The sequence below is a fragment of the Homo sapiens genome, chromosome 1 (genome assembly GCF_000001405.40).
Source record: "Homo sapiens chromosome 1, GRCh38.p14 Primary Assembly".
In the NCBI taxonomy this organism is placed as follows: Eukaryota; Metazoa; Chordata; class Mammalia; order Primates; family Hominidae; genus Homo; species Homo sapiens.
In genome coordinates, this window is record NC_000001.11 from 245,636,888 (window position 1) to 245,654,304 (window position 17,417).

The 17,417-nt window shown below is 41.1% G+C and overlaps 1 protein-coding gene across 1 annotated transcript in view, besides 1 other annotated feature; it reads left to right on the forward strand.

Annotated features, from left to right (window-relative positions):
- Nucleotides 1-17,417, forward strand: part of KIF26B (kinesin family member 26B) — a 554,448-nt gene that overhangs the window by 481,903 nt on the left and 55,128 nt on the right. Inside the window, exon 10 of the mRNA NM_018012.4 lies at nt 9,234-9,393. Coding sequence (NP_060482.2) covers nt 9,234-9,393 — 160 coding nt within the window. The remainder of the gene's footprint in view (nt 1-9,233; nt 9,394-17,417) is intronic.
- Nucleotides 11,608-12,121: an enhancer, noted in NCBI's record as "H3K4me1 hESC enhancer chr1:245811797-245812310 (GRCh37/hg19 assembly coordinates)". NCBI's record gives its function as "activates a minimal SCP1, AML or CMV promoter by ChIP-STARR-seq in naive H9 embryonic stem cells {active_cell/tissue: H9 hESC(naive)}" and the evidence as "EXISTENCE:reporter gene assay evidence [ECO:0000049][PMID:30033119]".

The following is a 17,417-nucleotide window of genomic DNA, read 5'->3' on the forward strand; positions in this document are numbered from 1 at the left end:
ATCTCACATTTTCTTTATTAATTTACCCATTGATGGACACTTAGACTGATTCTATATTTTGGCTATTGTGAATAGTGCTACAATAAACATGGTAGTGCAGATACCTCTTTGATATACTGATTTCTTTTACTTTGGATATATACTCAGCAGTGGGATTGCTGGATCATACAGTAGTTCTACTTTTAAGTTTTTTGAGAAACCTCCAGAATGTTTTCCATGATGGCTGTACTAATTTACATTCCCACCAAGTGTATGAGCATTCACCATTTCCTGCATCCTCTCCAGCATTTGTTTTTTGTCTTTTTGATAATAGCCATTGTAACTGAGGTGAGATGATAGCTCGTTATGGTTTTGATTTGCACTTTCCTGATGATTAGTGATGTTGAACATCTTTTCACATACCTCTTGGCCACTTGTGTGTCTTCTTCTGATAAATGTCTATTCAGGTCTTTTGCTCATTTTAAATTGGATTATCTGGGGGGTTTTGGCCCATTGAGTTGTTTGAATTCCTCATATATTCTGGTTATTAATCCCTTGTCAAATAATTTGCAAATATTTTCTCCCATTCCATATGTAGGTTATCTTTTCACTTTGTTGTTTCCTGTTCTGTGTAGAAGCTTTTTAGCTTGATGTAATCCCACTTGTCTATTTTTGCTTTTATTGCCTATGTTTTTGAGGTCTTACCCCAAAAATATTCGCCAATGTCCTGTAGTATCTCCCCAGTGTTTTCTCCCAGCAGTTTCATAGTTTCAGGTTTAAATTTAAGTCCATTTTGAGTTGATTTTCATAATGTGATAAAAAATGAAGCTCTAGTTTCATTCTTCTGCATATGAATATCCAGTTTTCCCAGCACCATTTATTAAAGAGATTGTCTTTTCCCCAATGTATGTTATTGGTGCCTTTGTCAAAAATGAGTTGGCTGTAAGTGCATAGATTTATTTCTGGGTTTTCTATTGTATTCCATTGGTCTTCTATGTGTCTGTTTTTATGCCAGTGGTATACTCTTTGCTTACTATAGCTTGTAGTATAATTTGAAATCAGATAGTATGATGTTTCCAGCCTGGTTATTTTTGGTCAGTATTGATTTATCTACTACGGGTTTTTTGTGATTCTATAAGAATTTTAAGATTTCTTTTTTCTATTTCTGTGAAGAATGTCATGAGTATTTTGATAGGGATTGCAGTGAATCTGTAGATTGCTTTGGGTAGTATAGACATTTTAATAATATTAATTCTTCTTTGAGCATGGGATATTTTTCCATTTATGTGCTCTTCAATATCTTTCATTGGTGTTTTATAATTTTTCTTGTAGAGATCTTTCACTTCTTTGGTTGAATTTTTACTAGGTATGTTTTTGTAGCTGTTGTGATTGCTTTCTTGATTTCCTTTCAGATTGATCACAGATAGCATATAGAAATGTTACACATTTTGCGTGTTTATTTTATATCCTGCAACTTTATTAAACTCATTTATCAGTTCTAAAAGTTTTTTGGTGGAATCTTTAGATTTTTCTAAATATAAGATCATGTCATCTACAAACAAGAATAATTTGACTTCTTCCTTTCTAATTTGGATGCCCTTTATTTCTTTCTCTTGCCCTATTGTGCTGGCTAGGAATTCTAGTACTATACTGAATAATTACAGTTTATAGTTCACCACTGAGCATCCTTTTCTTATTCCAGATCTTAGTGAAAGGTTTTCTATTTTAACCTATTCAGTATGACATAAGCTGTGAGTGTGTAATATATGACACTTATCTTGTTGAGGTATGTTCCTTCTATAAATTTGTTGAGGATTTTCATCACGAAGGGATATTGAATTTTACTGACTACCTTTCCAGCATCTATTGAAGTAATTCATATATTTTCCTTGATTCTGTTGATGTGTGATGTATTAAACTTATTTGACTTACATATGTTGAACTATCCTTGCATCACTGGGATGAATCCTACTTGATTATGGTGAATGGTCTTTTTAATATATTGCTGTCTTCTGTTTATTGGTATTTTGTTGAGGATTTTTCCCTCTTTTTATCAGAAATATTGTCCTGTAGTTTTCTTTTGTTATCTTTGGCTTTGGAAATAAGGTCAGGGTGGCCTTGTAGAATGAGTTTGGAAGTATTTCCTCCTCTTCAATTGTTAAAAATAGTTTGAGTAGAATTGGTATTAGTTATTCTTTAAATGTTTGGTAGATTTCAGCAGTAAATCCATCAGTTCCCTGGCTTCTCTTTGATGGGAGACTTTTTATTACTGTTCCAATCTATTACTTGTTATTGGCCTATTCAGGTTTTTATTTCTTCACAGTTGAGTTTTGGTAGGTTATATGTTTCCAGGAATTTTTCCATTTTTTCCTAGATTTTCCAATTTATTGGCATATAGTTATTCATAATGGTCGCTAATGATCCTTTGTGTATCTGTAGTATCAGTTGTAATGTCATCTTTTTCATCTCTGATTTTATTTAGTTGGGTCTTCTGTTTTTTCTTAGTCTAACTGAAGGTTTTAAAATTTTGTTGCTTTTCAAAAAAACAAACTTTTTATTTTGTTGGGGTTTTTTGTATTGTTATTTTAGTCTCAATTTCATTTATTTCTGCTCCATCTTTACTCATTTTTTTCCTACTAATTTTAGGTTTGGTTTGTTTTTCCTTTTCTAGTTCATTGAGGTGCAACATTAGGTTGTTTATATTTGGAGTCTATATTTTTAATGTAGGTATTTATTGCTATAGAACTTTCCATTAGTGCTACTTTTTCTGTATCCCGTGGGTTCTGGCATATTGTATTTCCATTTTCATTTGTTTCAAGAACTTTTTAAACTTCATTCTTAATTTCTTCATTGACCCATTGATCATCCAGGAGCATGTTATTCAATTTCCATATATTTGAATAGTTTCCAACATTTCTTGTTATTTATAGTTTTATTCTGTTGTGGTTAGAAAAGATACTTGATATGATTTTGACTTTTTAAAACTTGTTGAGACATGTTTTGTGGCCTATCATATGGTCTGTCCTGGAGAATGTTCCATGTACTGATGAGAAGAATGTGTATTTTGTAGCAGTTGGATCAAATGTTCTGTGAATATCTGTTAGGTCCCTTTGGTCTAGAGTATAGTTTAATTCTGAGGTTTCTTTGTTGATTTTTCTGCCTGAATGATCCACCTATTGCCAAAAGTGAGGTGTTGAAGTCCCTTACTGTTATTGTATTGTAGTCTACCTCTCCTGTTTAGATCTACTAATATTTGCTCTCTCTCTCTCTCTCTCTCTATATATATATATATATACCCTGCTATTTGGTTATATATATTCATAATTGTTATATCCTCTTTCAGAATTGACTCCTTGCTGAATTATTATATAACAATTTCCTTTGTTTCTTTATATAGTTTTTCACTTAAAGTCTATTTTATCTGATCGAAGTATAGCTAGTCTTGATCATTTTTGGTTTCCATTTGTATGGAATGCTTTTGGTTTCCATTTGCATGGAATGCTTTTCCCATCCCTTCACTGTTAGTCTATGTGTGTCTCTATAGGTGAAGTTAGTTTATTGTAGGCAACATATACTTGGGTCTTACTTATTAATCCATTCAGCCACTCCATGTCTTTTATTTGGAGAATTTAGTCCATATACATTCCATGTTATTATTGATAGGTAAGGCCTTCCTACTGCCATTTTATTACTTATTTTCTAGTTGTTATATAGTGTACCTCCTTACTTCCTTTCTTATTTTTGTGGTTAAGTGATTTTCTTTGATAGCATGTTTTAATTTGCTGCTTTTATTTTTTGTTTATCAATTATAGATTTTTGCTTTAGGTTACCATGAAGCTTACAAAAACATCCTGTAATTATAACAAGTTATTTAAAAGTGATACCAATTTAACTTTTCATTGTAGCAGAAGAAAAGAAACAAAAAGAAAAAAACACATGCATTTTAATTCCCTTCTGTTCCTACATTTTAAATTTTTGATGTCACAAGATCAAAATTTGCCTACCTCAAAAATTTTATAGTTGTTATTTTTAATAGTTTTGTCTTTTAATCTTCTTAATAAAATTTTAAATGGTTTAGATGCCATGATTACAATATAACAATCACATTAGCATTATTTTTCCTATGCTTTTAAGAACTTCTTTAGCATTTATCATAGGCTAGGTCTGGTAGTGATACGTTTTCTCTGGAAAACTCATCTCTCCTTCATTTCTGAGGAATAACTGCTTGGTGCAGTATCCTTGGGGAACATTTTTTTTTTCCTTCAGCACTTTGAATAATATCATCTCACTCCCTCCTGACCTGTAAAATTTCTGCTGAGAAGTCTGCTGCCAGGTGTATTTGATGTCCGTTGTATGTTATTTGCTTTTTTCTTGCTCTCTCACTGTTTTTAGGACCCTCTTTGCCTTTGACCTTTGTGAGTTTAATTATAATATGTCTTGGGGTCTTCTCACTTGGGTTGAATCTGATCGGTGACTTTTGACCTTTGTGTACCTGAATATTTATATTTTTCTCCAGGTTTGGAAAGTTCTGTGTTATTTCTTTGAATAAGCTTGCAACTTCTTGTCTTTCTCAGTTCTCTCTTTAATTCCACTAACCCAAATATTTGCTCTTTTGATGTTGGTCCATAGGTCCCATAAGCTTTGTTCATTCCTTCTTATTCTTTTTTTTCTCTTCTGACTGTCTATTTTCAAATAGTCTTGTCTTTGAGCTCACTGATCCTTTCTTCTTTTTGATCAATTCCTCTGATACGCTCTATTGCATTTTTCATTTCATTTATTGAATTTTTTACCTCCAGGATTTCTGTTTAATTTTATTTTTTAAATCTTTTCTGTGAACTTTCTCTGAGAGATTTCTGTGAGCTTTCTTGAAGTTCACTGAGCTTCCTTAAAACTGCTATTTTGAATTATTTGTCTGAGAGATCACATATTTTCATCACTTTAGGGCCAGTCTTGGTGCCTTACTTTGTCCCTTTGACATCATATTTCCCTGAATGTTCTTGACGCTTGAAGTATGATGATATCTACACATTGAGAGATTAAATATTTTAGTCTTCCTAGTCTGGCTTTGTTTGTGCCTGTACTTCTTCAGAGGGTCTTCCAGAGATTCTAAGCCAACTGACTATTGTGTTCCCTGTGATCACCACAGTAATCTCAGCATTAGAGGATACTCTATTCCCTGGCTTGCTGTGAGTCTCACAATGGCTTTCTGGCCCAAACGGACCTGGGGAAGACCCAATGACGGTACTTGTGTTATGTGGGAACACTGGCCACCAGGGACCTGAGTCCTGAAGACTGTCCTAGTTTCCCAGACAAGTCTACTTCCCAGCAGGTCTCTGCACAGGTAGGTTGTGTCCCCAACTATAGCAAGAGGGGCAGAAGTTGAGACTGGACCCCTTCAGAATCTGCTGTGGGAAGGAGGCTGATGGGCCTTTCTCATTGGCTGAGACAGGCATGTGTTACTCAGCAAGTCTCTGCACAAGTGGAGTAGTTTCTTGCCCATAACAGGAGGAGCTAAAGCCAAGACTGGGCCTCCTCAGGGTCTGCTATAAGATGGAGGGTGGCCGGGTGCCTGTAGTCCTAGCTACTCGGGAGGCTGAGGCAGGAGAATGGCATGAACCCAGGAGGCAGAGTTTTCAGTGAGCCGTGATTGCAACACTGCACTCCAGCCTGGGGGACAGAGCGAGACTCCGTCTCAGAAAAAAAAAAAAAAAAAAAAAAAAAAATGGAGGCTGGCATACCTGCCACATTGGCTCAAATGGGCATGCATCTTCTAGTAAGTCCCTGCATAGACAGGATAGTTCCCCAACTATCAGCAGGAGGAGCTGGAGCAGAATCTGGGCCCTCATAAGATCTGCTGTGAGACAGATACTGAAGGGGTCAGTCTCAGCTCAGAGGGGTGTGTGTCACCCAGCAAGTTCCTGTAGAGATAGAATAGTTATCTGATTACAGAGAGAGGGTCTGGAGCTGTGACTGGGCCCTCTTGGGATCTGCTGTGGAATAGAAGCTGGAGAGCCCAGTCTTGTATCAGAAGGCATGTCTTTCCCAGGAGGACACTGCATCAATAGGATAGTTCCACGACTGCAGCAGGAGGTGCTGTACATGCCTCTCTGCGGGTCTTAGCACAAATGGGATAGGTCTTTGACTGTCTTCAGTCTCTTTTGTCTAATATTGGTAGATCCACTCCAGCTCTTATGGTTACTGTTTGCCTTATCCACACTTACACGTTTAAATGATTGTTTATTTCTATTTGAAGTGTATTTCTCAAGCATATAGTAGAGCCTCACTTTTTTATCCAATCTGACGATTTTTGCCTTTTAATAAGGGTATTTTAGACTATTTCAATTTCATATGATTATTGATATGGTTTGGTTCAAAATATTATTTTCTGTTTTCTATTTGTCCCATCTGATCTTTGTTCTCTCTCTCTCTTTTTTGCTTTCTTTTGGATTTATGAAACATTTAAATGGTTCCAATTTCCATCTTCTGTGGGTTTATTAGCTATTACTTTTATTGTTTAATTATTGCTTTAGTGTTTGTAATATATATGTTTAAGTTACCACAGTCTAATTTAAAGTGATATTATACCACTTATATAAGGAATAAAAACCTTACAATAGTATACTTCCATTTCTCCCGTCTGACTTTTGTGTTATTGCTATCAAACATTTTAATTTTACATATGTCATCATTCACACGTTACATTATGATTTTTGTTTTAATAATAATCTTTTAAAGAGATTTAAAGTAATAAAAATTACATATTTACCCATGTGGTTATCATTTCCAAAGCTCTTCATTCCTTTGTCTATATTCCTTGTGTTTTTGCTTATGGTGAATTCTTTTAGGATTTTTAAGTCAAAAAATATCTTTATTTCCCTTTTGTTTTGGAATGATACTTTTGCTGGGTGTATATTTCTAACTTGACAGTTTTTAGTACTTTAAAAACATTGCTCCACTGTCTTCTCACCTGTATTTCCAATGAGAAATCTGCCGTCATCCTTATCTTTGTTCCTTTATATGTAACGTGCTTTTTTCTCTCTGGCTCTTTTCAAGATTTTTCTTTATATCACTGGTTTTGGGCGGTTTGGTTATGATGTGCCTTGATATAGTTTCTTCCTTTGTGCTTGGGGCTCACTTAGCTTCTTGGATACATGGGTTTATGACTTTCATTAAATGTGGGGAAGTTTTAGCCATTATTTTTCTCAAATATTTTATTTGTACCACACTCTGTCTTCTCCTTTAGGGACTCCAATTACACATAGCAGGCACTTGAAGTTGTCCTACAGCTCTTTTTTTTCTGTGTTTTATTTGTTGTTTTTTTTCCCTATATATTTTATTCTGAATAGTTTTATTGCTAGATCTTCAAATTTGCTGATTTTTCATTCTGCAATATCTAATCTGCCATTCATCTCATCTACTATATTTTTTTTATCTCACACATTGTAGTTTTTATCTCTAGAGGTTCAGTTTTGTGTCTTTTTAAATATATATTCCATGTTTCTACTTAACTTTTTGAACATCTGAAATACAGTTGAAATAACTGTTTTAATAAATAGCTGCTTCTGTCAATTCTAACATCTATGCTAGTTCTAGGTTGGTTTCAGTTATCTCTTCATTATGGGTTTCATTTTCCCGAGTCTTTACTTTGTAAATATTCTTAAGCTTTGTTTTAGAATGCAGTTGCATTACTTGGAAACAGTTTGATCATTTTTTTGTTTTGCTTTTAATATGTGTTAGGTGGGATCAGGTCAGTGTTCAGTCTGTGGCTAAGTATGGGAAAGACTTCTGGGTATTCAACCCAATGCCCTGTGAATTGTGAAGTTTTCCAGGCTGGCTGTTAGGAAGTGGCACTATTCCTGGCTTTGTGTGAGTGCTGTGCACCATTATCTCCAATCTTTTTAGGTAGTTAATTTCTGAGCCTTGAATAGTTTTCTCACATGAATGTTGTGTTAGTCCCTTTTGCATTGCTGTAAAAGACACCTGAGGCTGGGTGATTTATAAAGAGGCTTATTCTGCTCACAGTTCTGCAAGCTATACAAGAAGCATGGCACCCAGCATCTGCTTCTGGTGAGGACTCAGGAAGCTTACGATGATGGTGGAAGGTGAAAGGAGAGTAGGCGTGTCACATGGCAAGAGAGAGCAGGAGAGAGAAGGGGGAAGGTGCCAGCATCTTTTAAACAACTAGCTTTTGCATGAAGTTAAAGAGCAAGAACTCACTCATTACCATGGGAAGGGCACTAAGCTGTTCATGAGGGATCCACCCCCAAGACCCAAACACCTCCCACCAGGCCCCATCTCCAACACTGAAGATCACACTTCAACACGACGCCTGTGATTCTCAGTGTTGGAACCTGCTGGGAGGTGTTTGGGTCATGGGGGTGGACGACACATCTCCAACATTGAGGATCACATTTCAACATGAGATTTGGAGGACACAAACATCCAAACTACATCAGGTGTGCTGATCAGTACTCAGCTGAACACTTGAGGGACCTTCTGCAAATCTCTAGAGCTCTCTCCTCTGCAGTACTCTGTCTTGTAAATTGTTGCCACCTTGGTCTCCCTGTACTTCAGCAGCAGAGGTATTCATGGGCAAGTTGCTTAAGTTTTCTGAACAGTTATTTTCTCATCAATACAGAAAGGATAATAGTATTTAGCTTATGATTCTACTGTGGGAACTGAACGAAACTGATGTTTGTACAGCACCTGGCACTTGGCAGATACTCAGCAAATATTTGGGTCTTCCCTGTCTCTGCACCTGGTCGTTACTTCTTCCTGATTTTTGTCTTGGGTTTGCAACCTGATTCCTGGCTGAGCTTTAGGTTGGTTTCTGTATAACGATCAACCAAAGCAGGTAATCACTCATGAGCCATTCAGGTTTTAACTTGATGAGTTTCAGAATTCTGCTATTCAAATGGCATTTAGGTAGAAACGTATCCTCCTGTAATTTGACATTTATTTTCTCCAAAATCTCATTCAGTTCAACCTGCAAGAATTATTTGAATTCACTTATTTGTAGTGTGAATGTCAGTAGGCTTTAGAAGGTCAGTGGTGCGTGGTGGAAAGAATTTAAGAGGACCAATGCTATTTGCAACCCCAGCGTGATTTTTCTGGGGTTTCCTAGTAGGTCATGAACGTCAACCTTTTACTTCCCCTTCTCATTTTGCCTCAGATTTCCCAAGGAGCTACATGAAGAACAGATGAGTGTTTGTCAGAACTTAACCATTTCTCTTTTATCTTCTCCCCTGTGGTAGTGTCTGGAGGTCGCAGCCGCCTGCATCTCATTGATCTCGGCAGCTGTGTGAAAGCTCTTAGCAAAAATCGAGAAGGAGGCTCAGGGCTGTGTCTCTCGCTGTCTGCTCTGGGCAATGTCATCCTGGCTCTCGTCAATGGCAGCAAACACATTCCATACAAGTAAGTGACTCTTCTACTCAAAGAATGTGGTGGGGTAAGCATGGTGTGGGACGCTTTGTTCAGTGCCATCTGTGGAGAGGTGTGCCACAGAGGGACAGCCTGGACCCCATTATAAGTTCAGTGCCAGAGACCAGCCTTAGCTAACAGTTGTGTAATGCATGATCTCCCAAATTCAAAACTTTTGGAAATACTTAAATCTATTCCAGTTCTAACTTTAGGCTGCTCAAATTAGAGGAAATAGGAAATTATCTCAGTTGAGGTCTCCACTCGCAAATGAAGGTGGTGGGTCATTGTCACCATAATAAAGATGTGCCTGTTTCATAGTGATGAGAGTGAGGGGTGGAAGACTGGCTTATCCTTAGGGGTAGGGCCACCAGACTTAACCAAAAAAATATAGGATATCCAGGCAAATTCAAATTTCAGATAACCAACAAATAAGGTTGTATTATAAGTATGCACCCCAACATTGCATGGGACGCTCCTGGTGACATGTATTTTATCTGGCAACCCAATCTCGGGAGTTCAGAAAGCTAGGGGAGTTAGCACCTGCCTTCCCATGCAAATGTTTAGTCACTTCCAGGATCCTTCCTGTCTCTTTACTACTGCTCCAATTAAATTACAGCCGCTCCTATGTCTGGCAGAGACAAAGCCACTCCACCACCATCACCCCAACTAAGCGTTCTCATTGGACCGTGTGGTGGCAGGCCATTGACTGGCTGTCCAGGCTTCTGCCAAGGCCTAGCTGAGCCTCTTACTAGCTGCATGAACCTTCATTCTTCCTAAAATGAGGGTTAAAGCTATACATGTTACATCACAGAAATATAAGGCTCAAAATGATAAAACATGTATAAAAGTTTATTGTAGGCTGGGTGCGGTGGCTCATGCCTGTAATCCTGGCACTTTGGGAGGCCGAGGCGGGTGGATCACAAGGTCAGGAGATTGAGACCATCCTGGCTAACACGGTGAAACCCCATCTCTACTAAAAATACAAAAAATTAGCTGGGCGTGGTGGTGGGCACCTGTAGTCCCAGCTACTCAGGAGGCTGAGGCAGGAGAATGGCATGAAACCAGGAGGCGGAGCTTGCAGTGAGCCAAGATCACGCCACTGCACTCCAGCCTGGGCAACAGAGCGAGACTCCTTCTCAAAAAAAAAAAAAAAAAAAGAAAAAAAAGAAAATTTATTGTAGAATTTAGGACACTATGGCCAATAACCAATGATGAAAGTCTGGTTACACCTATCTAGTCAAGCCTATCCTCACCTATTTAAAGGGAAAAAACACCGACCTTACAGAGTTGCCATGAGGTGAAGATTAACTAAATATATGTGGATTCATGGTTTTATCTGTAAAAACCCTACAAAACCTACGTTGCTGTTGTGTAGGAGGAAAAAGTCGGGCAGTGTATTCTATAATTACTGAGATTCACAATGAGTGCTGGAGTTTTTCTTCCCCTCAGCCCTATGTTGATGCCAGACCCCCCCACCAAATACATTGTGAGTTTATTTCCTACCAGGAGAACCATTACTGGACTGACTTTAGGAGCTTAAATGGTGATTATAATCCTGTCCATCTCATTTCTAGAAATTTGGAATCCTAGTTGGATAAACCCAGAAATGGTTTTCCCGGCTCTTGTAACAACCCTTTTCTATGGGAGAATATTCTGAGTTGAAGAATTATAGAGTTTCATTCGATGTCATTTCTGTAGTTGAGTAAATTCAGCTTGTGGGGAGAAAGGGCAGGGGAGGGAAACCGTTGGAGTTGGAGATGAAGGGAAGAGTACTAGCACTCACTGGTTTCCATAAAATGAGAATCATGTCTGTTAATGTCAGAACTTCATAGATCATGATATAGATAAAATTCCAAATTGCACCTTAGCAGGAGGTCATTGATTACATATCTTACTTATAGCTTTTACACTGTTTCTGCAGGGCGACATGCTTTTATGATTTCTATAAATAGTTGTTGAATTGATGGCGGGAAGATAGATGCATGTAAACATGAAATTATTTTTAATTTAAAGTAACTTCCTTTTAGTTAGAGTTGGGTTTTTTATAAATGAGTAGGGAAACATTAAAAATTGTTTTTATGGCCCAGCGTGGTGGCTCACACCTATATTCCTGGCACTTTGGGAGGCTGAGGCGGGAGGATTGCTTGAGACCAGCCTGGGCAGCATGGCAAAAACCTGTCTCTACAAAAAATACAAAAATTAACCGGGCATGGTGTTGCATGGTTGTAGTCCCAGCTACTTGGGAGGCTGAGGTGGAAGGGTGGCTTGAGTCCAGGAGGCAGAGGCTGCAGTGAGTTGAGATTGCGCTACTGCACCAGCCTGGGCAACAGAGTGAGACCCTGTCTCAAAAAAAAAAAAATAAATGAAAGTTTGTATTAATCGTTCAAGCTTCGTGTTAATTAAGCATATTTTTAACATGCTGGCCCTACCAACTGGCTACCTGCCCTCCTGGGAGACATCTCCACTCACCAGTCCCTGCAGACAGCTGCCTGCCTTCATTCCAGGAGTCCCCTTCCTTCTATTCTGGCACCAAGAGAGTGATCATTAAAGTGTTTCTGTGTCTCAAGTAAGCAGACTAGCTTCCATGCAGTGTCAGCACAAGACCCAATCCTGGAGCTGTCCCGTGGCCTGGTTGAGCTGTTGATGGCGTGGGTACAGACTCACCAGCTGCCCTTGCCCTGCCCTGCCTAACACAACTCATCGAGACCTTGCTGGGTTGCCTGGTGCTGGAAACACGGTGGCCCTGGCCATCCAGCCAGCGCTGTCCTTCCCAAAACATCCATTGGCCAGTGCGTTTGTTCTGTCACCCCTCAGTGTCCTAATGCCCTTCATTGTACGTGATCTTAAAAAGACCCTTGCCGAAATGTTTTCTCCGAGTCTGGACCACGGCCTAGATTCAATATTTGGCATCTGCAAATGTACATTTACAAAGTGATTCATCAACTAGAAACTGTCCTCTTTTGAGGTACAGGAAGATAAGGCAAAGGTTTACTCAAATCACCCAGCCAGTGGGTGGCAGGATCAAACTGCCTCGCTCCTCACAGCTTCAGAGGCCTCGACAGTTCCCAGCCTCACTGCAGACCCACGCCCACTTCTCATCAAGCTCCCGAAATGTCGGAGCTGCCTTCACTGCGCACGGCAGGGGAGCCCAGCACAGCAGGAAAGCCCCGATTTCTTTGATCAATTCCGTCAGTGCTCTGAAGCCACATTATGCAGCATTTTGTTAGCATACTAAACACCTTCAGGGTGTCAAGCCTTGTCTTTGCAGTGCGTTCCTTAGAGAAGTGGAAGTTTCCTGCCCTTGAGGTTTCCTCTTACTCCTCCTGCTCACTTACGGAGGGTGGCGGGGGGAACAAAAATAGAAAACCAAATTCCATATTCTCTTTCCTTCCCCCACCCCCCCCAAAAAACACAGACACCCCACTACCTCTTCATTTGTCTCCCCAGACAACTCTGTACTTGGAACCTGCATTACTTGTGCTTGCTCCTGGGAAATTCGCTGCAATGTGCACAGAGGGGCTGTAGCCTGTCTTCATTCCTCTTCATCATCTTACCAGGCTATTTGTCATGTGAGCAAGCTGGAAAGTGAGTTTGGATTCATTACCCATCCCAGGCATTCCCACAGGCACCCTCCATGTGCGCTGAATGCTTCTGACTTTGCAAATGATATTGCCCTTGAAGATGCAGGAGGCGTGGAGCAGGTTTCCAACCTCAGCCATTACACAGCACAGGCACATTACATGGCACAGGCTTGCCGGCCAGTCCAGGCGCCATAAATCAGTTCTCAACGGTGGCACCATTCAGAAAAGCATGCAGGGAAGGCAGGGAGACCACCAAGGGCTCCAACCCCTCGTCAGTTCTGCACTGACAGGCTGCACAAATTACTCTCTAATTTTTGAGAGCCTCCACCTCCAGGGAACCCTGCCCTCATTCGATCATTTTGACAGTGCATTTGCAAATTTTCTTTATTCGGTACATTCATTTGCTGTTCCTTACTGCTCTTGGGCACCAAGGTGCTAGGAATCTTCCCATTTAATGGATAAGAAAAAATAGGCAGAAGCGTTGAAATGACTTCTCAGGCCAAAACCCAGTGTTGCACATCCCACAGGAGTTGGCCCCCAGAAGAACCGCCACAAGGATCTGTCAGGGTGAACTGAGCTTCGGCTAACGGGTGTTATGTCCCAGCTCATCTGAAGGACCACAGCTTTTCGAGACTCAGATTCTCACCATGACCCAATTATCTCAAAATAGAATTTCTGGTTCTCTTAGATGTTGCTTTGTAGAGGGCACAGGCCCTTAGAAAGCACACACCTGTCATGCAGGCGTCCTTCAAGCCCTGAAGCATTTACCTTCATTGATGACTGCTGCTCCATATGGAGAAAGAATTCCTTTAATGGGTCATATGACCTGTTTGCTTATTTGCCAACACAGTGTTTCTAAACACTCTGTTTCTAAACAACAGCTAGTTGCTAATGTCTTGGCTGCCCTTTAACAAGAGTTCATGGAAAGTCCTTCTGTGGCCCTCTCATGTCATGCCTGTCTGAGATGCTTCTCCCAGTCATCTTGAAAAATGGTGCTACATAACCATCCTGTCGTGGAAATGATGCCCGGCACCTCCCTCTCACGGGTTTGGTCTATGGTTCAGACCCAGACCTAATCCTTGTTTGTTGAGATCAGTCACTGAGACACTTTGGGTCTCAGCAGCTGTGCTGAGCTCGCCTCCTCCTCTCTCTGGTAGAGCCTGAGGCAATCTGTGATCCAAGCTGCAGGCCACGAGCAAACACCGCAGGCAACATCCACTTCCAGAAGGCTGTGTTCCACAAAAGCGATGAGGACACCCATCCTCAGGGGCTATAATGGGAACTCTTTTCCTCCTAAGGCCCTAGTGAGGAGTCAGGAACCAAGGTCATCTTTAAGCTTGTAGCATCGGGACACACCAGTTCATTCAAAGCAGCAGGCAGCACTAGAAGCTCAAGTTCAAATCAGTGACTTGAAAGGAAATGACACTTCATAAGTAGAGGCAGCTTTTTCAAAATGCAAGCACCTTCTCATCCAAGAGAGGGTGGGGTTCTGGCACCTGTGGGTCACACTTGTGGCAGCAGGCCCAGCATTGGCAGGAACTTCAGGACGAGCCTCTGAAGGATGTGGACATTCCCCTCCTTGCCTGGAGAAGTGCTTCCTCCTAGAGCCCATGGAGATTTGGGATTAGCCTCTCCTTTCTCAGAACTGGAAACCCAGTACTCAAGGTCTGGGAAGCTGGGGAAAGGGGCTCAAGATTGCTGTTAGCTAGAGCGGGGTTCCAAACCCCCAGGCCACAGATTGGTACAGGTCCCTGGCTTGTTGGGAACCAGCCTGCACAGCAGGAGGTGAGCAGTGGGGGAGCATGACCACCTGAGGGCTGTTGGCTGTCTGATCAGTGGTGGCACTGGATTCTCATAGGAACCTCATGCTATTGTGAACTGTGTGTGCGAGGGATCTAGCCTGTGCGCTCCTTATGAGAATCTAATGCCTGATGATCTGAGGTGGAGCAGTCTCATCCCCAAACCATTCCCTACTCCCATTGGGTCCATGGAGAAATTGTCTTCCACGAAACCTGTCCCTGGTGCCAAAAAGGTAAAAGGGTTTGGGACTGCGGAGCCATGGCATTGAATTCCCATCTCACACAGGAGAGGAAAGGCTCTTCCTCAGGACTTGGATGTATATTACTTAGACGTACCATGAAATTAAGTAGATATTTGCCAGGAAAAATGCAAAGGAGTATCAGTTCTCCAGATTTGTTTAAGATAGCATGAAACGGAGAGGTTCATGTAAGAATCTGTGTGTGTGTGTGTGTGTGTGTGTGTGTGTGTGTGTGTGTGTGAGAGAGACATATGCATATTTAACCTCCTTTAAATGTACATTAATGCTGTATTTTCTCCCCCTGATTTACAGGGAGAATATCAATTTAGAACTATTTGCACAAACTCTAGATACCAGTTTAGAGCGTTCCCTATTTAGAAATAAAATAACCAAAGTCTCAGGTTGCCAGGCAACTGCAGCAATGATAATTCTTAGTATTGCTGCTTTAGAAATACTCATTTTTATACATTTTAGTGATGGTTAGGATGCAGAGAATGTGAGTTCAGAATGTCGCTGGGACATCGAAGTCCCTTTTCTATGAGATTTTTAGCATTCTCACTTGCTTTTATTTTTCCCCCTTAGCTCTGTTTGCTTCCTTGGCTAGCGGTATCTTCATATTTAGCTATAGAAATCTCGAGAGATTGTTATTATTTTCTTAAGAGTTGAGGCAGAAGCTGCCACTACATTAATTCTGCCAGGCTCATTATAGAACCACGCCAGTCACTCAGGGAGAAATGACACCGTCTGGGGATCGGCCGGGGTCACAAACACTGGGTTCAAGCTTTGGTTGTTCTGCCGCTAGTTTGACACATGAACTCTACACCTCGTCCTTTTCATTCTTAAGAGGACCACATTCTGGCCCCTCTCAGAGCTTCACTGAATTGGGAACAGAATATCAGGCCCCAGCTCTGTCATCATCTCTTGGCGGCAAAGCCACGGCTCATGTTTTTGTCTGTCCACTGCAGCAGCCGTTGTGGCGTAATGGCACATGATGGTCTCGGGGCTGGGTAGAAATTGGAAGGCGTCTTCCTTTCCCTTTTGGCCTTTCAAGTGTATCTTCCTTTATGTCTAATGTCTGGGGTTACTATTAAAGTCTTTCTGAATTCTGAACCAATGATCAGATAGATACAAGAGAATGATTGGGAATGAAAAGCCTGCTAATCCTAGCAGAGTAGGAAAGGGTAGACAGCCCCTTCCCCAACCCCACGGCCTCAGTGGAGGAGAGAATGGTGTGGCCTGCAGGGGAGGGACAGGCAGACAGCGCCAGCTGTCACCCAGGCTCACGTTCACCAGCCTCAGCAGTCAGACCTTCTTCCTTCCTCCCTTGGAGGAAGTGAATAGAAGGGCAGAACCGAGAGCGGGAACTCTATCTTGATCTTGCTAAAGGGGTAGAAGTTCCTAATTCGTGGACTTGCTGGACCACAGGGAGGAGGAGAAAATGATTTCTAGTACTTATTTCCTGGCATTTCAGCTACATGGAAGGTAGTTAGCACGGTGCATAAATGAGCCCCCGGTGAGAGTATTTCCCATCGTGAGCACCACAGCCGGGCGTTGTTCTCACTGTGCCTCACAAGCTCTGCTAAATGCCTTATGGATATTTCATTCTGACAACCTGTGACATAGGTACTGTAATCATACTAGTATCACAGATGGGGAAACTGAGACACAGAAAGGTTGAGTATCTTGTCCAAGTTCACACAGCTAATAGGCAACAGGGCCTCACTGCCTCCCAGTTTATCACCCCCCACCGAGTACAGTTTCTGGAATATTGTGCTCGGTCAACATTTGTTGCAATAACAAGTGGGGTACAACAGAGGATCAAACATACCAGCAAAGCTTGCATATGTGTAGTTGATTATAAGTAAAAGCACAGTCTGGGCACAGTGGTTCACACCTATAATCTCAGCACTTTGGAAGGCCTAGGCAGGAGGATCACTTGAGCCCAGGAGTTTGAGACCAGTCTGAACAACATAAGGAGACCTCGTCTCCACAAAAAAAAATTAAAACACTAGCTGGGCATGGTGGCTCATACCTGTAGTCCAAGCTACTTGGGAGGCTGAGGTGGAAGGATCGCTTGAACCCAGGAGGTTGAGGCTGCAGTAAGCTATGATCGTATCACTGCACTCCAGCCTGGACAACAGAGCAAGACCCTGCCTCTAAGTGAGTGAATGAATGAAGGCACAGACCCGAGGGGCAGGGCTGATGGTAGCCAATTCATACATTCAGGTCGGTCTCCTGGTCTCACCTGTTTCTGTGATTGCTAAGCCAGGCTGATGGCTAGATACCCATGGCAATGAAGAATGTAAAATACGAAAGGTAAAAAAGGGAAATAAATCTTCCTTTCAGGACCCAAGCTACTTATCAGGGCTAAACAAAAAATACCAAGTAAGAATGTAATG